Source organism: Homo sapiens, chromosome 12 (assembly GCF_000001405.40).
Source record: "Homo sapiens chromosome 12, GRCh38.p14 Primary Assembly".
Classification (NCBI taxonomy): domain Eukaryota; kingdom Metazoa; phylum Chordata; class Mammalia; order Primates; family Hominidae; genus Homo; species Homo sapiens.
Window position 1 is genome coordinate 80,782,035 of NC_000012.12, and position 23,746 is coordinate 80,805,780.

Sequence of the window (23,746 nt, forward strand, 5' to 3'; positions counted from 1 at the left end):
AGATAGTTTAAAATTAGAGTGGAACATTCCAAGTGAACAACATTGCACTTTAAGAAGTGCATTTGAAAGTGAGGGCCCCCTAATTAGTCTCATCCACGGAGGAGTCTTTTTTTATTTATTTTTTAAACAAGAAAAGACTTTTGCTTAAGGCAAATAAAAAGCTCAAGCAACTAATTGAGAAGAAAAATGGAAACTGCTAACATTTTCACTTAGTTACTATGATGGTTAATACTGAGTATCAACTTGATTGGATTGATCCTGGGTATGTCTGTGAGGGTGTTGCCAAAGAAAATTAACATTTGAGTTAGTGAGCTGGGAAAGGCAGACCCATCCTTAATCTGCGTGGGCACCATCTAATCAGCTGCCAGAATGGCTAGAATATAAAGCAGGCAGAAAAAACAAAAAACAAAAAACAAACAAACAAAAAAAAAAAATGTGAAAAGACTAGACTGGCCTAGCCTCCCAGCCTACATCTTTCTCCCATGCTGGACCCTTCTTGTCCTTGAACATTGGACTACAAGTTCTTCAGTTTTGGGGACTCAAACTGGCTTTCCTTGCTCCTCAGCTTGCAGACGGCCTATTGTGTGACCTTGTGATCATGTGAATTAATACTTAGTAAACTCTCATACACAAACACACACACACACACACACACACACACACACACACACACACATATTCTATTAGTTCTGTCCCTCTAGAGAACCCTGATTAAGGCCGTTACTATTCCATCCCAAAGGTGAAAAGAAAGCTATCCTAGATAATGTCTTTAGAAAAAGAAGATACTCAGTAAAGTAGGCTTGCTTCTTTTTCAGATCTATCCATACTGAGTTCAGGTATAGAGAATGCTTTCTTTGTCCTATTCCTTAATGTACTCCACCCCGAACTCAGTAATTTTAGCTAAGAAAGAGCAGCTGAATTAAAAAGATCATCTATCAAACTAAAACACACCTACCTGGCACTTAACCAGCTATCTTGAAAGACGTTTGTAAAAGCAATTTACATCTATAAAGGAAATCTCCATTTGTAAGAGCTCTGTCTATGTACATTAGAAACTCTTAACCATTGTTTTAGGTATGACAATTCTTTCATGAGCGTCCCTGTGAAGAGACCACCAAACAGGCTTTGTGTGAGCAACATGGCTGTTTATTTCACCTGGGTGCAGGCGGGCTGAGTTCGAAAAGAGAGTCAGCAAAGGGAGATAGGGGTGGGGCTGTTTTGTAGGATTTGGGTAGATAAAGGAGAAGGGGGGTTGTTCTCTGGCGGGCAGGAGTTGGGGGGTCACAAGGTGCTCAGTAGGGGAGCTTTTGAGCCAGGATGAGCCAGGAGAAGGAATTTCACAAGATAATGCCATCTGTTAAGGCAGAAACAGGCCATTTTCACTTCTTTTGTGGTGGAATGTCATCAGTTAAGGCAGGAACTGGCCACCTGGATGTGTACGTGCAGGTCACAGGAGATATGATGGCTTAGCTTGGGTTCAGAGGCCTGACATTTCTGTCTTCTTATATTAATAAGAAAAATAAAATGAAATAGTGGTAAAGTGTTGGGACGGCGAAAATTTTTGGGGATGGTATGGAGAGATAATGGGCAATGGGCTGCTTTGAGCGGGATTAGGGGCGGCGTGGGAACCTAGAGTGGAAGAGATTAAGCTGAAGGAAGATTTTGTGGTAAGGGGTGATATTGTGGGACTGTTAGAAGAAACATTTGTCATTTAGAATTATTGGTGATGGCCTGGATACGGTTTTGTATGAATTGAAAAACTAAACGGAATAAGAGAAGGAGAAAAACAGGTATTAAAGGTCTAAGAATTGGGAGGACCCAGGACATCTAATTAGAGAGTGCCTAAGGAGATTCAGCATAGTCCTGCCAGCAAAGATTATTTATTTACTTCAAGAGTTAAGAGTGGCGGTTTGGGGATAGCACCAGGAGATATCAGCTGTGATGGCTTGGAAAAACAGTGTAAACCGGCAGTGTAAACAACAGCAGGGCATGTATGAGTAGTTGAGAATGGTGAATAGGAGTATGACTAGAAAGAAGATAGTAGGGATGACAAGTTTTTTTGGGGCACAGTCTAAGTTGGTCTGGTGTCTGGAATGAGACTGGGGCCTAATAAAAAGGAGTGTCTATACAGGAGCTCAAATGGGCTGTACCTTGTAGCATTCCAAGGACAGGCCTGAATGCTGAGAAGGGAAAGTGGTAAAAGTATTGTCCAGTCTTTTTTAAGTTGGTGGCTGAGCTTGGTGAGGAGTGTTTTTAAAAGACCATTAGTTCGTTCTACCTTTCCTGAAGACTGAGGACCGTAAGGGATATAAGGGTTTCACTGAATACCAAGAGCCTGAAAAAATGCTTGGCTGATTTGACTAATAAAGGCTGGTCTGTTATCAGACTGTATAGAGGTGGGAAGGCCAAACTGAGGAATTACGTCTGACAGAAGGGAAGAAATGACCACGGTGGCCTTCTCAGACCCTGTATGAAAGGACTCTACCTATCCAGTGAAAGTGTCTACCTAGACTAAGAGGTATTTTAGTTATCTGACTCGGGGCATGTGAGTAAAGTCAATTTGCCAGTCCTGGGCAGGGACAAATCTTTGAGCTTGATGTGTAGGAAAGGGAGGGGACCTGAACAATCCCTGAGGGGTAGTAGAATAGCAGATGGATCACTGATAAGTGATCTCCTTGAGGATAGATTTCCATGATGGAAAGGAAATAAGAGGTTCTAAGAGACGGGCTAGTGGCTTGTACTATAGCATAGCCTGCCTTTCCTGGTGTGTGGCGATTAGGCCGGGTGGAACTGCCATAAATAAACCAAGTGTGATCAGGGTGAGAAACAGGGAAGAAGGAAATGTGGGGAAATGGGGTGAACATCAGGTGGATCAGAGAGATACAGTCATGTGGGTCAGGTGTGGTATCAGGAATAATGTGGGAGGCCGGATTGAAGTCCGGGCCAGGAACAATGGTAATTGTGGGACTTAACAAAGAGTGAGTACAGCTGAAGGAGCTGGGGAGCAGAAAGTATATGCGTCAGGTATGAGGAAGAAAATAGATTTTGGAAGTTATGAGAAATGTAGAGAGTAAGTTGAGGATAGTTTGTGATTTTGAGGGCCTCTAAAAGTATTAGGGTGGCAGCAGCCGCTGCACAGAGACATGATGGCTAGGCTAAAACAGTAAGGTCAAGTTGTTTGGACAGAAAGGCTACAGGGTGCGGTCCTGGCTCTTGTGTAAGAATTCTGACTGCACTAACCATGCCTAGGAAGGAAATGAGTTGTTGCTTTGTAAGGGATTGAGGTTTGGGAGATTAATCGGACACGATCAGCAGGGAGAGCACGTGTGTTTTTATGAGAATTATGCTGAGATAGGTAACAGATAAGGAAGAAATTTAGGCTTGACTGAAGTAATGGGGGCTGTCTGTGAAGCTTTGCGGCAGTACAGCCCAGGTAATTTGCTGAGCCCGATGGGTGTCAGGGTCAGTCCAAGTGAAAGCGAAGAGAGGCTGGGATGATGGGTGCAAAGGAATAGTAAAGAAAGCATGCTTGAGATCCAGAATAGAATAATGGATTGTGGAGGGAGGTATTGAGGATAGGAGAGTATATGGGTTTGGCACCATGGGGTGGATAGGCAAAACAAATTGGTTGATAAGGCATAGATCCTGAACTAACTTCTAAGGTTTGTCTGGTTTTAGGACAGGTAAATTGGGGGAATGATAAGGAGAGTTTATAGGCTTTAAAAGGCCATGCTGTAGCAGGCGAGTGATAACAGGCTTTAATCCTTTCAAAGCATGCTGTGGGATGGGATATTGGCATTGAGCGGGGTAAGGGTGATTAGGTTTTAGTGAGATGGTAAGGGGTGCATGATCGGTCGCCAAGGAGGGAGTAGAGGTATCTTATACTTGTGGGTTAAGGTGGGGGAGTACAAGAGGAGGACGCAAAGGAGGCTTTGGATTGGGAAGAAGGGCAGCAATGAGATGTAGCTGTAATCCAGGAATAGTCAGGGAAGCAGATAATTTAGTTAAAGTGTCTCGGCCTAATAAGGGAACTGGGCAGGTGGGGATAACTAAAAGGAGTGCTTAAAAGAGTATTGTCTAAGTTGGCACCAGAGTTGGGGAGTTTTAAGAGGTTTAGAAGCCTGGCTGTCAATACCCACAACAGTTATGGAGGCAAGGGAAACAAGCCCTTGAAAATAAGGTAATGTGGAGTGGGTAATCTCCGTATTGATTAAGAAGGGGCGGACTTACCTTGCACTGTGAGAGTTACCCGAAGCTCGGCATCTGTGATGGTCTAGGGGGCTTCCAAGGCGATCGGGCAGCATCAGTCTTCAGCCGCTAAACCAAGAAGATCTGGGAAGGAGTCAGAGAGCCTTGGGCCAGAGTTCCAGGGGCTCTGGGAGTGGCTGCCAGGTGAGTTGGACAGTCCGATTTCCAGTGGGGTCCCACACAGATGGGACGCGGCTTAGGAGGAATCTGGGCTGCAGGCATTCCTTGGCCTGGTGGCCAGATTTCTGGCACTTGTAGCAAGCTCCTGGGGGAGGAGGTTCTGGAGGAACGCCTGGCTGCTGCAGTTCAGGCATTTGGAAGTTCTTGTGTGCAGGAGATGTGGCTGGGGTTTGTCTCACAGTGGAGGCAAGGAATTGCAACTTTTTTCTATTATTGTACACCTTGAAGGTGAGGTTAATTAAATCCTGTTGTGGGGTTTGAGGGCCGGAATTTAATTTTTGGAGTTTTATTTAATGTCGGGAGCAGATTGAGTAATAAAATGTATTTTGAGAATAAGACGGCCTTTTGACCTTTTAGGGTCTAAGGCTGTAAAGTGTCTCAGGGTTGCTGCCAAACGAGCCATGAACTGGGCTGGATTTTTATATTTGATGAAAAAGAGCCTAAACGCTATCTGATTTGGGATAAAGAAAAAGGAGCATTAACTTTGACTATGCCTTTAGCTCCAGCCACCTTTTTAAGAGTAAATTGCTGGGCAGGTGGGGGAGGGCTAGTCACGGAAAGAAACTGTAAGCCGGACCAGGTGTGAGGAGGGGAGGTGATAAAAAGATTATAGGGTGGAGGAGCAGAGGCTGAGGAAGAATTGGGACCTAGCTCGGCCTGGCGAGGAGCAGACTGGGGAGGAGGGGAGAGGTCAGATGGGTCTGTAGAAAAGGAAGATTAGAAAGACTCAGTGATGCTTTGGGTTGGGACTGAGGGGACAGGTGGGAGGGAAAGAAGGAAGATTTGAGACGAGTTGCACTAGGCACAGAGACTAGGGAGGGACCGATGTGTAAAAGAATGCCTGGACATCAGGCACCTCAGACCGTTTGCCCATTTTACGACAAGAATTATTTAGATCTTGCAGGATGGAACAATTGAAAGTGCTGTTTTCTGGCTATTTGGAACTACTGTCGAGTTTGTATCGGGGTCAAGCAGCATTGCAGAAGAAAATAAGATGCTTAGATTTTAGGTCAGGTGAGAGTTGAAGAGGTTTTAAGTTCTTAAGAACACAGGCTAAGGGAGAAGAAGGAGGAATAGAGGGTGGAAGGTTGCCCATAGTGAAGGAGGCAAGTTTAAAGAAAAGGGAGAGTAGAGACACAGAGGGAAGCGGTTCAGGGGTTCTTACCCTCCAGAAAAGTGGGAAAGGGGTTGGGGCACAGAGATACGAGGTTGGGGTGCAGAAATAAGGGATCAGGGAACAGAGATATAAGAGGTTGGGGAGCGGAAATAAGGGATCAGGGTGCAGAGATATAAGATGTCAGGGCACGGAAATAAGGGATTGGGGCACAGAGATAAGCAGTGTGCAGAAATAAGGGATTGGGGCGCAGAGATATAAGAGGTTGGGGCATGGAAATAAGGGATTGGGGCACAGAGATAAGAGGTTGGGGTACTTGCCCCTCCTTTAGAAAATCGGGACTTGCCACTAAGAGTGAAGGAGAAGGGGTTGGGGGTTTCTTGCCCCCCAGAAAGGAGGAGAAGGGGTAGAGACACGGAGAGAAGGGGCTGAGGTATTTGCCCCTACCCCAGAAAAGCAGGACTTGCTGCTAAGGGTGAAGGACCAAGGCAGGCATCCCTGAGTGGTCTGACACCTCCGAAACCTGGGTGAATAATCAGAGAAGCGTCCCTCCAATGATTAAACACCAAGGGAAGGCTGCCTTCACTAGTCCGTGACCGGCACCAGAGTTTTGGGTCCACGGATAAAACGTATCTCCTTTGTCTCTACCAGAAAATGAAAGGAACTGAAATTAAAAGAAGGGAGAGATTGAAGAGTGGAAAGGAGAAAGTGGCTGAGGGACGGTGAGAGAGGTTGGAGAAGAGAGTAAAAAGAGGCCGCTTACCAGATTTGAAATTGGTGAGATGTTTCTTGGGCTGGTTGGTCTGAGGACCTGAGGTCGTAGGTGGATCTTTCTCATGAAGCAAAGAGCAGGAGGACAGGGGATTGATCTCCCAAGGAAGGTCCCCCAATCCGAGTCACGGCACCAAATTTCATGCGCGTCCGTGTGAAGAGACCACCAAACAGGCTTTGTATGAGCAACATGGCTGTTTATTTCACCTGGGTGCAGGCGGGCTGAGTTCGAAAAGAGAGTCAGCAAAGGGAGATAGGGGTGGGGCCGTTTTTATAGGATTTGGATAGGTAAAGGAAAAGGGGGGTTGTTTTTTTGGCGGGCAGGAGTTGGGGGGTCACAAGGTGCTCAGTAGGGGAGCTTTTGAGCCAGGATGAGCCAGGAGAAGGAATTTCACAAGATAATACCATCCGTTAAGGCAGGAACAGGGCATTTTCACTTCTTTTGTGGTGGAATGTCATCAGTTAAGGCAGGAACCGGCCATCTGGATGTGTACGTGCAGGTCACAGGGGATATGATGGCTTAGCTTGGGCTCAGAGGCCTGACAAAGTCATACCTTTGTTTAAGGTGCTTTTCTCACATCTTGTCTTAACTGAACTTTTACTTACACCAGTTTTTCCTTGGTTTGAGCAAATGATACAATATGTAGGCCTAAACTTTTAGCTCTGTGCTTTTGAAATACAAATCTTGTTTCACGTAAGAATTGTGCCTTTAGAAATACCACTTTGGTGCCTACTTAACAACTGCTTAGAACAATGAAACAGGTAATTGGAAGATTGATAGGCTGAAGGGGGGAAATCCACTTAGAGTCTGACAAATGAGAATCCTTTATAAAAGCTGTAAGATCTGCTTCTATCTGTGTTTGTATGTCCGTATACATTATGTGTATGTGATAATATTTGGTAAAAAAAAAAAAAGAAAAAAAGCTAGTTTTAAAAATTGTTGGTAAAATAGGAATGGCTTCAAAATTATCAGTTAAATATAATTCAGTACTTGCTTGATTTGACTGCAAGCTTGTGTTTTTGGTTGAGCCTCTGGATTTGAGAGTCTGAGTAGGTGGTCATTGTGAGGCATGGGGACATGTTCTCAGTACCTAGACCAGCAGCTATAAGACAGAGACAGGCCCACTATGGACCCTTCTTCTTTGTCTCAGCTTTGCCTCCTGGCTATTCTGGGAGGGTTTCCATCCTCCAAACATTTTCTCCCTGGCTCTGTCTTTTATCCTGACCTCAATACCTGGTATATAAATACAGGACTCAAGCCCTGCTTTTCATAGTCCTCTTGGGTGCCACGTGGCTATCTGGAACCCAGGATGACTAGGAAAGACATTGGGTAGGGTATTTGTGCTATAGTTTGGAGAGACAGGACTAGCTGGATTTCCTAGGCTGACTAAGAATCCCTAAGCCTAGCTGGGAAGGTGACCACATTCACCTTTAAACATGGGGCTTGCAACTTAGTTCACACCCAACCAATCAGAGAGCTCACTAAAATGCTAATTAGGCAAAAACAGGAGGTAAAGAAATAGCCAATCATTTATTGCCTGAGAGCCCAGCGGGAGGGACAAGGATCCGCATATAAACCCAGGCATTGCAGCCAGCATCGGCAACCCTCTTTGGGTCCCCTCCTTGTATGGGAGCTCTGTTTTCACTCTATTTCACTCTATTAAATCTTGCAACTGCACTCTTCTGGTCCATGTTTGTTACGGCTCCAGCTGAGCTTTCGCTCACCATCCACCACTGCTGTTTTGCCGCTGTCACAGACCCGCCACTGACTTCCATCCCTCTGGATCCAGCAGGGTGCCCGCTGTGCTCCTGATCCAGCAAGGTGCCCATTGCCACTCCCGATTGGGTTAAAGGCTTGCCATTGTTCCTGCATGGCTAAGTGCCTGGGTTCATCCTAATCCAGCTGAACACTAGTCACTGGGTTCCACGGTTCTCTTCCATGACCCACAACTTCTAATAGAGCTATAACACTTACTGCATGGCCCAAGATTCCATTCCTTGGAATCCGTGAGGCCAAGAACCCCAGGTCAGAGAACACGAGTCTTGCCACCATCTTGGAAGTGGCCCACCACCATCTTGGGAGCTCTGGGAGCAAGGACCCCTGGTAACAGTTTCAAAATTATTTTCAGTAATTTAAAATTTTAAAGTCAACTTTTGTTAAATTAATAGTCATAAAATGCCTGAGTCATTTTTAAATAAGGTAAAATACTGAAATATTAGTTATCAGGCATGAGTTTAAGTCTATATACCTTGACATATTATTTTTATACAGTATAGAAAAGCTAAATATATTTAGATCTGTTAACAATAATTTAGGAAAATGTCTTTCTAAAAAACTATAAACTTCTTTTTATCTATAAATACTGATATAAAACAGTTCAAAATTTCTTCCTAATATTTTCACTAGAAATTAGGGTTACTGAGAGTTAAAATTGGAGTTAATGTAATTAAAACTACTAGATATGAAAAAAACAATTATTTATACAGAATGTATAAACAAAAGCAAGATACGCTTTTGGTGAGGAAAGTTGTAAAGGCATAAAGGTGTGTGTTGACATAAAAATAATTTTGTCTAGTGTAGAAGTTTCTTAAAAATTTCAAATTGAATACGAAATAGGTAAAACTAAATGAATATAGAGAGTTTGGAAGAGCTAGAAAATGTAAAACAAAAAAGTGTGTATGAAAATATTGTGTGGCTATAAGATGACAGATCTGATAGATTTATAAGGTTTTATTAAAATTAGCTTTAGTGTTGATAATATACTAATCCAAAAGTAAAATTTGGTTTTCTCTTTTGAACAAAAATTTTTTGTAGTGTTAATATGTCAGTAAAATGTTTTTGTTCACCTTTTGAGTAAAAAGCAAAAAATAAGAAACAGTGATGAGAGAGAGACATATTCCATCTCATGCTCTATCTCTCAGGTATTTTGATTGTTTGGGAAACCGGGTCTTCTCTCAAAGAGTAAAGGTTTTTGCTTTTTTTCAAAATCTTTAAATTATTATTTTGGCTACATGGATGATCATTATTTTACAGTGGCCTGTGATTCTATTTTGGTTAAGTGTTTTAAAACACATATTTGACAGGTTTCCTAAAATCAAATTTCATCTTCATAATTAAGTCTTTTTTTTTTTTTGACCTCTAAAGTTAGGATGCTAGAGAAGGTCCCTGCAGCTTCCAAAAGCGAGAGAAATAGAATTATTTGATGTATTAAATTACATGGGAAGCCTTATCAAATACGAAATGATGTTTAACCTTCTTTGAGTTGTATTTCATAAATATGTTATTAATATATGTTCCAAAATTGTATGGGACTCCTAAAATTCTGATATGTCTGGGTATAGACTATCACTCATAATTATGGTTAATATGTTAAATTATTGTAGGCCACAGATATAACCAAATTTCCTTGTGGATTGTGTCCTTATGCCTATCTTAAGTCATTTCCACAGTTAATTGCTTAATTCTGATGCAGTTTCTGAAAACTTCACAAGCAAGCAAAATCCTAGAATATTTGTGTCTTCAAAGAGGTTTGTGAAAGGATGGAAAGGACACTGATAAACATTCTTGAATATAGGTTTCTGGTAACTACATGACCATATAATTTGAACTGGGTAAAAATTCCCTTTATGATTCATTTTATAATAAACCAGTAAACTAAGTAGGTGTTTTCCTCAGTTTTGTGAGCTGTCCCAGCTGAACCCAAAGAAGGGCTTGTGAGAATCTCAGTCTCCAGCCAGTCAAAGGACAGGTGACAACCTACTACTTGCAATTGGCATCTTAAGTAGGCTAAGTGTTGTGAGACTGAGCCCTCAATCTGTGGAATCTACACCATCTTCAAGTAAATAGTTTCAGAATTGAATTGAATTATAGGACATCCATTTGGTACCTGCTTGGAAAATTGATGGGGTGGGGGGGTGGGGAAACCTTTACATTTGGTCACAGAAGTGTTCTATGTTGAGTTTGAGACTAGAAAGCAAAAAAAAAAAAAATTTGTCTTTTCCTTTACAGAATCTAAGCCCTCAATAGAATGACACCACTGTGTGGTCAAGAATGGAGAAACCCAAGAAACTTAGCATCCCAATATTGAGGTGTCTTCAGTATCTAAAAATTCTTTTACATCCATGCTTTAAAAGAACTTAAAGTCATTTGATAATGAAAACAATACTTCCAGTTTGGTGTCTAATACTTTTACTTCCCAGCAGCATAATACCACTTTGGTCAGGTTGAACCACTGCACAATTTTGCAGCTCTTTCAGAAAAATAATGAAAACAATTGGAAAGACATGATGTACATGCAAATGGTGAGAAAATGATACTATTGTCCAATCCTTTCCCGTAAATGTAAAATATCCTTAGTTCATCTCCAAACTGTGTATTTATTATAAGCCCTTACATCAGGGATTTTGTTTCTTTCAGTTTTTGTAGCACCAAATAGACACAGCGGCTAACAAGAAATAAATCTGAAAAGTCACTGAAATATTTATCACATGTCAGAAATTTTCTGGTCTGTACCTTTAACCATGTTCCTGGCTTCACATATTCTTCTTAAGAGTAAGCTATAACATAAGATTGAGTTCCCACCCTGTGTTTGCTACTGATGTGATTTGTTTACCATGAATAATACTTTGTTAATATCTTTTGTATATTACTTTACAATTTCCAAGTATTTTATATACAGTGACTCACTTAGTGACTCATTCATTTTAATGTAATGGTGTCCCCCAAACCACAGATAATGATTAGACACATGAACTCTTGTGTCAGATTGCATGGGTTCAAATCCCAGTTCCACCTGCTAGCTGTGTGACCTTGGACAAGTCACATAATATATCTGTGCTTCAGTTTTTGTATCTATAAAATGGAACCTACTGAATAGAGTTGTTGAAGGGATTTGGTGAGATAGTCCATAAAAGCACTCAGCACAGTGGCTAGAAAATAGAGCTGCATAAATGTTAGTTATGAATAAATTACTTACCTACCTCACTGGGGTATAACCGTGGTTTATAGATAAACTAAGCAGCATTTTTGAGCAGTGGTTTTAGAAAAGCAAGCTCACACAAATCTGTGCAGGGAGTATTTCATGACTTCCATGGGGTGAGGAATTTTATTTTTTCTATCAGGTGTGAAGAGGACCCAATGGACAGTAAACTCTCTAGTTATTGCTAGAGTAAATGTTGGAGAGTTTCTCACAGTAACCTCCAAGAGGGATTGTGTCTGTCTTGTTTGCTGTTGCATTTCCAGAACCTAGCATGCACTAGGTACACAATAAGTATTTGTTAAATGAATAAACACATGGAAACATCTGAGTAAGTATGTGATTAAACTTCAGCTTAGTGTATTCCAGGAATCAAATATGAAAGGATAAATGATCTTTTGAAAATAGGAAGAGATTTAGGGATGGTGTCTCCAATTATTATGAATTTCTTAGAGAATGGTTGTTAATAAATATCAAAGGGGATAATATGCCTGATGATCTTTTTATATAAAAATGAAAATATCTTTTATAAAATTTAAAAATGGGGTTTTATGTTTGAATCATTCCTGCCAGATAATTCAGGAAGCTTGTATAAAGAACTAGAAAGGTTGAGTTCAACTCAGCATAAAAACTCTGTATCCCCAAACATTGTTCCTTATCCACTGTTCAAATGTCCTCAAATCTTTGAAGCCTTTAAAGTAATTAATGAAATTTCAAATTCATACATCTAAAAAGTTTTTATATAGACTCAAAATATGGTTCTAACCATGAAACTTAGAAATCATAGTGACAATCAGTATAATATAAGCTGGTAAAATTTGTGAGATTTTCAGAAGGCAAAATCCATGTTTTTTGTCTATTCACTGATTCAGCCACTTATTCATCCAACAAATACCGAGTGCCTACATTGTGCCAGGCAGTGGTCAAGGCAGTCACAGCCCTTTCTCTATAGTTTTCCAGCTAGAGAGGGATGAGATGGGTTGGACCACCCCATATTTTGGAAGATCTTTTTCTATGTTGGCCTCCCTGAATCTTCAGAGCATTGAGTTCTAAGTTGTCTAAAGCTGGTCTTATGAACAGGCTGTGTCTGTATGATAAAAACAAACTAGTTAAAAGATGAGAAATTTAGGCATTATTCACACATCCACACATATCTATAGATGTTTAAAATAATGTAGACAAAATATTCCACCTCTTGGGGTCCTACGGGCACAGTTGAGTAACATGAAATGAGATAAGATCAGTTTGATGTCACAGTTGAAAACTGCATTTGTAAATCTGTGTAATCCATCTCGAGCCAAGTTCTTTGGAGACAGTCTAAAATCCTTAAAAAGCCTCTGCATGCTAGATTTTGCATTTAGATCTAAGTATTGTCTTAAAAGACTGTGATTGTTCACATAACTGGAGAATTCCCTATTGACTACATGATTGAGGAAACACAAAAGTCTGTTATTCTTTCCAAAGTCAATTGTAACTTAAGCTCATTATCTCCCTGCAGATGTTCTATTTCAAATGACAACAGAATCAAAATGTAAATGCTCCAGTGAAAAGGCTTGGAAACTCTTTTACTGAACTGTGCTCTATGTATTTGCCTTCAAAATCATAGCAGGAAAAAGTTTAGAAAAATCTATCCCACCGGCCACTGACCTAAAAAAGGGAAAAAATTAAATTTCACCAGGATTTCTGGTGATATCGTAGAAGTTTTTTAAATTATAACGTTTAATACCTAATTTGTTTATTACATTGAATTGAGCTTCATGTCAGAGCAATGCAGGTTTTTATTTTAATATAATTTGGGACATGTCAGTGGCTCTAATATGATCGTTAATAATGAAGATAATTAGTATAATACAAGTTGTGGTAATTTCCTTCTTCTGGCTTCAGTGAAACTTAAGAGAACCACAGGTGGCTTAAGTCTTAGTGATGGCTACCTCTGATTAAAACTTTAGGAAAAGACTTACATTTCAACCAACAAGATTTTACTGAAGGAAAATGGTCATTTGTATATGAGACCACTCTGACGTATAATCCATCCTTAGATGTCCTAGGTGTGATGGATTGCTTCTTTACTTTGACAAACAATCTGGTATGCCTTTATCAGCACTTAACATTAACCAAATGAAGCATAAATACAAAGGTTTCTAGAAAACACAAATGTAAACTATCTTACCATTTGATAGTTGTTTCTGTAACACTGTGACAATATTTGTATTGATGTGAAACCATATGATAACTTTAATTTTGACCAAACATTTATGACTAAGTGAAAACATACTCACTCACCTTAAGCTCCAAATTTATACAATGTATTGAAATGTGTTGAAATGACCATTTTCTCATGACAAGGGTTCAGTGATTTCCCTTCATGAGAATCCTGTGGCATTGCCTGAATAGCTTTAATATATCTTTGTTAAATGATAACTAAAATATATGTTTTATTAAATTTTTCTTATAAAAATGTGAACTATCTCTTTCAAACTGAATAATACATCGTCTCCATTCATTCCCTTTTATCATGCTTGTCCTTTTTGTAAATCTATTTTACATAACATACAGGGTCCTAACTGCCCCCACCTCACCACCCCCGTTCTCTCTAGTAAAAAATGATATGTATTCAAGGATGGGAATCTGTTATCACAGGGGTGTATTGTTGAAATTAGCAAATGTCCTAGTTTTCTTGCTGTTTTTCCTCTGGTGAGGGATGCATTGTGAAGAGCAGGGAAAACCTGGTATTGACAATACTATCACCCAACAGGGCATAATAAAATGTGCTGGGTAGTTTTGATTGGTTTTGTTTTATTTTCAAGAAGACAGTCTAAACTGAGCTTCATACATTTCTATTTTGGGGGATTATCTGAAGTGTCAAATTGTATTGTATCTTGGGGAATCAATTTCTGTATTTGAGAAAAGGGAACATTCAAATATTTGCCTGTGGTTTACTGATCTATTTTGAATACTTCAACTAAGCAATTATTCTTTTCTTAGGTTCATTTATGTGCTTAAGGTATTCAAATGCCCAAACAATTATTGCTTCCTATTTATTTCATAAAGTAAAATCAGACTTAGGTGCCTAGATTTACCATAAACCAAAAATTATGACCTGTAAATGTAGTTATAACAGATTATTTTCCAGTGAATGATATTTTCTGAAAAATGATATCTCATTGTCTATTTACCTATGGGAATATATTAAAGTTGGTGATTTTATTTTATTTTTCTAGAGGAAGCAGCATCTGCCATTCACAATATTGATATCACTGGTTTCCACCTGCCCAATTATAAGAGAAATAATACTTGTTTATCTGAGAGTGCCAAAAATATCTGGTTTATATTTGGGGAAATTGACCTAAACTTTGTGTGACACAAATATTTGAATATATATGCACATATAATTTAGTTTTGCTAAGCTTTAAAATATGAAATAGGCTTCTATGACAGCACATCAGTGTGAGTAGAGTTTAGATTTCTTCAGTGTTTATCAATCAAAAAGTATAAAACTCAAAAAATATTGAGAGTGGGTTTATGTATATAACATACGAGAATCTGTTCACAGGGCTAGGTCCTTTGCTAGTATTCTCTTACTAGATTCTTAATACTTGGTAAGAAAAGAACCTAAGTTGTAACAAATGCACTCTGATAATATATATTTTATAGAATAAATATACATTATACTCTGTTGGAATTAATAATAATAGATACAAGCAATAATTAAAAACTACAGTGCTAGAGTTCCTACACTTGCTTCTAACAAACTAAAAGTTGAGCTAAAATTGGTCCATTCTATTAATGCATAATAAAATTCATGGAAACAAAAGAAAAAGCCGATTGCTTCTAGAACCTGAAGAAAATATAAATATAGTATGATACCTTGCGATTTTCAAGAGGAAAACAGGTTGAACTTGCAATTAACTGGAATTCCAATTCAGACAACTCAGCACTATGGATTGTGGAGCAGGTGAGGGTAAGGAGCAATGTGTAGGTTTCACTTTGAACTGATGCAGTTTGAATTATAGCCTAATGAGGGGTTTGCTAATATCTGGAAAAGCTATGGACCCAAGATTCACTCAATCTTGGCCCTGGTGATTTATTTAAAAGTCATAGACTTTATTCTTCTTACACTGTTTCAGTTTGCAGACTAGAAAACCTCTCCCTCTGCACACTGAGAATTCCCACTGCAGTGAATGGAAGGTCAATGTATGTAAAGCCCACGTGAGCAGTGGCGGTTCAAGCCCAGAGAAAGAAGGTGTTGAGTTGCCTTGGTAAAGAATTTATACACCATGTGTTCACAGCTTCTTGACAGGTATAATTATCAGTGTTGTCTTTTACTATGTGCTGGGATTCTGAAGCACGGTTTCAAATTTGTGACTATCGGATGTTTGATCAAGTAGCTTTCCCTCAAGGGCCTGAAAGAGAAAAAGAGTGAAGAGAAATCAGTGATTAGTATTCATTTGTCAACTACAATATGCTAAAAATATCAAAAGAGCATATGCTATGTGAGAACAGCAAGGATTATTTTGGGTGCTATCATTCATGCACCATCTTCTACATATGAAAAAATTCGTTTGATGTTTGCAAAGGAAGTAATTATCAAATGAGGATGGAAAAGCCACAGTTGTTCCCTAAAATGAAATAAAGAACACCAGTTTGGAAACATTTCAAATGTAAAACATTTCCTTCTTCCATTTCCAGATGATTCTATTTTTCCTCATGAAGGCAAAGAATAACCAACATTTATGTTACGACTCTTAGGGCTTTTAGTAGTGCTTTTGTTGAGGTAGAAGCCAGCAAAACCTCTCTCTGCTAGGCTGGGAGCACCAATATTCCTTCTCTGACGTGGACATTAAATCTGTCTCTCTTCATAAGGTCAGCCTGACACCACATGAAACAGAGTAGGCAATTACCTCTATGGTCAGAGTTTGGGGAGCAGTCTTGCCAGATACTACCCCCATACCTGCCACTCTTCCACTATTAGAGGGTCATTTCTTTCAGAGAGAACAGTGATTTTTACATCTTCGTTCTCAAAGCTGCAGATATTTTTATTTCAATGAATGCCAAGCACCATATTGAAAACAGATTTTAACAAAATTGTTCTGTTTACTTTGCGTCAACACTCTCCAGCTGTCATGCTTTAAAGAGATGTGCCCAACCTCCCCTGGGGCCTACTGAGTGGATTGAAAACCGTGCATAAACCCATTGTGTTTCCTCAGGAGTCACCAACGAGATATTATATAACAACACATAAGCATTAACATTTTAACTATTATAATATCATCATTCTGACTACTACTTCTATCACTAATGAAAATTTATTGAGTGCTCACTAAGTGTCACATATTTTGCTAAGAGTTTCACATTTTTTTTTCATATTTAATCTCCACAACAGACCATTTTACTGAATCTTAGATTGAATAACTTCCTAAAGGTCATTTAGCTACAAAGTGACCAGAGATCTAGACTGAGTTCTTTTTTTTTTTTTTGAGTTGAAGTAAATCTTCACTTCCCAGACTCAAGCGATTCTTCTGCCTCAGCCTCCTGAGTAGCTGGGACTACAGGCATGTGCCACCACCTCCAGCTAATTTTTGTATTTTTAGTAGAGATGGGGTTTCCTCATGTGAGCCAGTCTGGTCTCAAACTCCTGACCGCAGGTAATCTGCCTGCCTTGGCCTCCAAAGTGCTGGGATTACAGGTGTGAGCCACCGTGCCTGGCCTAGAGGCTGAGTTCTTAATGAATTAAATGATAATATAACTACATGTCCTGAAGGAATGGGACTCAGAACAGGTGAATTTTAGTAAGTCTTGGATCTCTTCATCTATCCAGGGCAGGAGTCAGCCTGAGAGAGAGCACTGGGCATTCAACATGTGGGCCACTGACATACCTGTTGGGAAGAACCAGCTGCAACAAATGTTAGTATTGCCCTCAGTCATGATTTATAATTTAACTGATTAACAATTTATTTTTAAGAAAAGCTTCTTTTCCATATTAGTGTGTCTTGTTGATCAAATTGCCTACTAACTCTTAAAAGAGCCATTGTGGTAGGCAGAATAGTGCCTCCTCGTCCACTAAATGTTAAGTCCACATCCTAATCTCCATAAACTATAAATATGTTTGATTACATGATAAAGGGCAGTTAAGGTTGTAAATGAAATTAAGGTTGCTAAGAAGCCTATGTTAAAATAGGGAAATAACCCTGGATTATTTAGTTCAATCCAATGTAATTAAAAGTGGAAGAGGGATGAGTCAAAGAAAAAAAATCACAAGAGAAATTTAAGAATATTTTGAACCAAGTAAAAATAAAAAATAAAAATGTTTTGATAAGTTGTGGGAACCAAAAAATCAATCATCTATGCTTCTTCCTTAGGAAACTAGAAAAAGGGCAAATTATATCCAAAGTAAGCAGAAGAAAACAAATAATAAACATTAATGAAGATTAATTTTTCATTAATAAAAATTAATGTGGAAGAAATCAATGAAATTGAAAATAGGAAATTAATAGAGAAAATCAATGAAATCAAAAGCTGATTATTTAAAATGATCAATAAAAACCAAGCACTGTGGTGCATGCCTGTAGTCCCAGCTACTTAGGAGACTGAGATGGAAGAACTATGTGAGCCCAGGAATTTAAGTCCAGCCTAGGCAACATAGCAAGACCCTTCATCTCGAAAAAAATAAAATAAAAAGACGGATAAAATCAATAAACTTCTAGCCAAGCTAACAAAAAGGAAGAGAAGACACAAATTATTACTTCTATTAGAAATGAAAGTGGTCACATCACTACAAATACCATGGACATTAAAAGCATAGTAAAAAAATACTATGAACAACTTTATATCCACCATTTTGATAACCTAGATGAAATGGACAATTCCTTGAAAGACACAGTCTGGGCCGGGTACGGTGGCTCACACCTGTAATCCCAGCATTTTGGGAGGCCGAGGCTGGCGGATCATCTGAGGTCGGGAGTTTGAGACCAGTCTGACCAACATGGAGAAAACTGGTCTCTACTAAAAATACAAAATTAGCTGGGTGTGGTGGCGCATGCCTCTAATCCCAACTACTCGGAAGGCTGAGGCAGGAGAATTGCTTGAACCCGGGAGGTGGAGGTTGCAGTGAGCTGCGATCGTGCCATTGCACTCCAGCCTGGGCAGCAAGAGTGAAACTCCGTCTCAAAAAAAAAAAAAAAAAAAAAAAAAAAAAAGACACAATCTGCTAAAACTCACATGAGAAGAAATAGACAATTTGAATAGGTCTATATTTATAAAAGAAATCGAATCAATACTTAGTAGCCTTCCAAAGCAGGAAGCACCCGACCCTGATAGGTTCACTGGAGAATTCTACCAAAATTTAAGAAATAAGTTATACCAATTGTCTATAATTGCTTTCAGCATATCAGATAGAAGCAGAGCGAATATTTCCTAACTCATTCTATATGGCCAGCATTACATTAATACCAAAGCCAGACGAAGACACTAGAAGAAAAAAAAACCAACTACAGACCAATATCTCTCAAGAACATAAATTTAAAAACCCTCAACAAAAGTTAGCAAATCAAATCCAACAAGATTTAAAAATGTTAATGACCTTAATGTCCATTCAGAAGAGATTGATTATTGTATACCTAGAAATTAAAACTTTACACAGATATTTAAAATGTAGACCTAAGTCTACTAATGTTAACCATATTGTTTAATTTTTAAAAATCAGGTTATAATTTAGCATGTAAAATATGAGTGAAAATAAGCATATATATATATATATAAACATACATATAAACATACATATATAGAAATAACATTTCTGGAGAAAAAACTGTGTACTAAAATGAAGTGAGATTATAGCTGAAAAGTTAATTTATTCTTTATACTTCTCTACTGTCTAAAAATTTTGCAATGAAAAAGTGTCACTTTCATACACAAACATCAAATGTAAATCAATAGAAATAAATTAACAGTTTTGCAAGCACCAAGACAACAACAAAAGTGAAAGAGGGGGACAGAAAACAGCGTTGTGATGAAGGCAGAGGTCAGAGAAATGCAATGTGAGAAGGATTCCACTACCGCTACTCGTTTTGAAGATGGAGGAAGGGCCCAGGAAGCAATGAATTTTCCCCTAGAGCCTCCTAAAGCCCAGTAAAACTGTGTTGGACTTCTATCCTACAGAATTACAAGATATATTTTTAAAATTGTATATTCAATTGGCAAATAATAATTGTATACATTTGTGATGTACAAATTTGTGATGTACAAATAAATTTGTGATGTATAAATATATTGAATTGATGTTTTGATATGTTTAAAATGTGAAATGATTAAACCAGATAAAATAATTAACACATTTTATCACCACACATACTTATTTTTTGTGGTGGAAATATTTAAAAGCTATCCTTTTAACAATTTTGAAATAGATATTATTATTTAACTCATCATTCTGTGCAATAGATCACTAAAGCTTATTCCTCCTGTCTAACTGAAACTTTATACCCTTTGGTCAACTTCTCCCCTTTCTTTCCCCGATCACCCTTCTCCTCTACCTCTGATAATCACTATTCTACTCTCTACTTCTATGAGTCTAACTTTTTTTTTTTTTTTTTGAGACAGTGTCTTCCTCCGTTGCCCAAGCTGGAGTGCAGTGGTGCGATCTCGGCTCACTGCAACCTCCACCTCCTGGGTTCAATCTATTCTTTTGCCTCAGCCTCCTGAGTAGCTGGGATTAGAGGTGCACCACCACACCTGGCTAATTTTTGTATTTTTAGTAGAGACAGGGTTTCACCATATTGGCCAGGCTGGTCTCAAACTCCTGACCTCGTGATCCACCCACTTCGGCCTCCCAAAGTGCTGGAATTACAGGTGTGAGCCACCGCACCTGGCCGAGTCTAACTTTTTAAGATTCCGCTTATAAGTGAGACATGTGGTATTTGTTCTTCTGTGCCTGGCTTATTTCATTTAGCACAATGTCTTCCAGGTTCATCCATGTTGTTGCAAATGAAAGATTTCCCTCCCTTTTAAGGCTGAATAGTATTCTGTTATGTATGTCTATTTAGCTGAAGCTGGACACCTACGTTGCTCCCTTATCTTAGCTATTGTGAACAATGCTGCAATCTACATGTACTGCAGGTATCCTTTTAACATGCTAATTTCAATTCATTTGGATATATCCCCAGAAGTGAGATTGCTGGATCATATGGTGGTTCTAATTTTAGTTTTTGAGGACCCTCCTCCATATTATTTTCCAAAATGGCTGTATTAATTTACATTCCCACCACTGGTGCACAAGGATTCCTCTTACTCCATACGTTTGCAAACACTTGTTATCTTTTTTCTTTTTTAAAATTTAAAATTTTACTTTTTTTTTTTTTTTAGAGATGGGGGTCTCACTATGTTGCCTAGGGTGGACTCAAATTCCTGGACTCAGGCAATCCTCCTGCCTCACCCTCCTCCTCCTGTGTAGCCGGGACTACAGGTGCTTGCTACCACATCTGGCTTTGTCTTTTTTTGATAACAGCCATTCTAACAGGTGTGAGGTGAAACCTCACTGTGGTTTTAATTTGCATTACCCTGATTATTAGTGACAATGAGCATTTTTCATGCATCTGTTAGCTATACCTTAGGCTTCTTTTGAGAAATGTCTATTAAGTCATTTCCCCATTTTTGATTGGGTTATTTGTTTTCTTGCTATTGAGTTGTTTAAGTTCCATACATATTTTGGATATTAGTCCTTTATCAGATGTATGGTTTGCAAATATTTTCTTCTAATCCATGGGTTATTTCTTCAATCTGTTGTTTCCTTTGCTGTGAAGAAGCTGTTTAGTTGGGTAGAATCCTGTATGTCTATTTTTACTTTTGTTGCCTGTGATTTTGGGAAGGTATCCAATAAATCTTTGCCCAAACCAATGTTGTGGAGCGTTTCTTTCATTTTCGTCTAGTAGTTTCACAGTTTCAAGTCTTACAGTTAAGTTTCCAATCATTTTAAGTTGGTTTTGTTATGGGGTGAGATAAGGGTCCAATTTCATTCTTCTGCTTTGGATATCCAGTTTTCCCAACACCATTGATTGAAGAGATTGTCCTTTATCCATTGCATGTTTTTGATACCTTTGTCAAAAATCAATTAACTGTAAATATGTGGATTTATTTCTGGGTTCTCTAGCTTGTTCCATTGGTCTATGTGTCTGTCTTTATGTCAACAGCATGTTGTTTTGATTACCATAGCTTTGTAATAGACCCTGAGGTCAGGTAGTGTGAGGCCTTCAGTCTGGTTCTTTATGCTCAAAGTTGATTTGGCTATTTGATGTCTTTTGTGGTTCCATGCAAATTTTGGGATTTTTTTTTCCTACTTCTGTGAAAAATGACATTGGAATTTTGATAGTAAGAGCATTGAATTCTACAGCATTATAGGAAACAATAAATTTGTGTTATTTTAAGCTACTATATTTGTGGTAATTTTTATGGTAGCCATGGAAAGCTAATGCATCTTTGAGGATGAAGTAATTTGAAGTATGGGGTACTATTTTAAAGGTAATCGATAAGGGTGATTTGGATAACTGCATAAGACTGAATCCCCAGACAGTTCACAAATATGTCTGTGAAGTGGGGTCAGGAAAAGTAAGGGTGGCAATATGAATAAGAGCAAGAGGCTTTAAAGCCCATGTTCCTGTGTTTGAATCGTGGCCCTATTACTTGTTATAATAGCTGTGAAATGTTAGGTACATTTAAAAAACTCCTATATGCTTCAGTTTCCACTTTATTTTTAAATTTTTTTAATTTTTAATTTTTGTGGGTACATGATATATATATTTATGGGGTCCATGAGATGTTTTGATACAGACATGCAATGTGTCATAATCACATCATGGAAAGTGGGGTATGCATCCTCTTAAGTATTTATCCTTTGTGTTACAAACAATCCAGTTGTACTCATTTAGTTATTTTTAAGGGTATAGCTAAATTATTATTGACTATAGTCACCCTGTTGTGCTGTCAAATACTAGGCCTTATGCATTCATTGTGTTTTTGTACCCGTTAACCATCCCCACCTCCCTCCCCACTCCTCCACTATCCTTCCCAGCCTCTGGTAACCATCCTTCTACCCTCTATCTCCATGGGCTCAATTGCTTTGATTTTTAGTTCCCACAAATAAGTGAGAATATGTGATGTTTGTCTTTCTGTGCTTGGCTTATTTCACTGAAAATAATGATCTCCATGTTATTGCAAATTACTGAATTTTTTTTTTTTTTCTGAGACAGAGTCTTGATCTGCCATCAAGGCTGGAGTGCAGTGGCATGAACCTGGCTCACTGCAACCTCCAGCTCCTGTGTTCAAATGATTCTTGTGCCTCAGACTCCAAAGTAGCTGGGATTATAGGCGTGTGTCACCAGCTCTGGCTAATTTTTTTTTTTCTTTTTTTTGTATTTTTACTAGAGATGGGGTTTTGCCATGTTGGCCAGGCTGGTCTCAAACTCCTGGTCTCAAGTGATCCAGCCGCTTTGGCCTCCCAAAATATTGGGATTACAGGTGTGAGCCACCGTGCCTGGCATGAATCTCATTCTCTTTTATTGCTGAATAGTACTCCATTGTGTACAAGTACCACATTTTCTTTATCCATTCATCTGTTGATGGACACTTAGGTTGCTTCTAAATCTTGGCTAATGTGAACAGAGCTGCAGCAAACATGGGAGTGCAGATATCTGCAGTGGGAACCTCCAAACTGTTCTCCATAGTGGTTGTACTAATTAGTTTACTCTTTAAAACAAGATTAAACATAGTACCTAATCTGCATAAGGCTATTGTAAAGATTAAGTAATTTAATATATATGAGGCACTTAAAAGAGTTCTTGGCACACACTAATTGTTTAATAAGTGTTAGTCAGCTTTATGATTATTTCTGTCCGGTGTTCTGCTTGGAAACTCTGGGTTCCTTGCATTCGATTTTATTGGAGTCATCCCCTGGAACTTGGTTTTCTTAGTGACTAGGCGGATAGTTTTCGTAATAATTCCCTGGATTAGATCATCAGGATCATGCATGTGGTAATGCTAGAAGAAGGTAGAGAAGGGTTTTAAAGGTAGGCAAAATAAAGAAAATGGGGGGTCTTTAGAGTGGGAGGAAAAAGAGATTTGGTGAGGCTACTGTCAAATGCCAGCAACTTTGTAAATTTAATAAGATACAGGCTGGTTTTGACTGGAATGAATTCTCCACCCTAGATCTAGCCATGGAGGTCAGGGACACGATTTTGGTCTTGACTTCCTCAGAATGTTGATATCTCCAGAGATATTCCTCTTTCTTCTTATTTTTATTTTTTGAGAATCTGGGTGAAATATTATATACATGGAGTCACAATAAAAAACTGAGGTGCTTCAAGCTGAATAAATATAACACTCTGATATGGTTTGACTGTGTCCCCACCCAAATCTCAACTTGAGTTGTATCTCCCAGAATTCCCGTGTTGTGGAAGGGACCCAGGGG

At 38.8% G+C, this 23,746-nt stretch overlaps 1 protein-coding gene across 5 annotated transcripts in view; it reads right to left on the bottom strand.

Annotated features, from left to right (window-relative positions):
- Positions 10,486 to 23,746, bottom strand: part of LIN7A (lin-7 cell polarity scaffold A) — a 145,415-nt gene continuing 132,154 nt past the window's right edge. For all 5 annotated transcript variants that reach the window (NR_136888.3, NR_136887.2, XM_011538928.4 and 2 more), the window contains one exon: positions 10,486 to 15,692. Coding sequence is in view for 1 of the 5 variants with exons in the window: in XM_011538928.4 (XP_011537230.3) it covers positions 15,615 to 15,692 (78 nt within the window). In the remaining 4 variants the exon portion in view is untranslated. The remainder of the gene's footprint in view (positions 15,693 to 23,746) is intronic.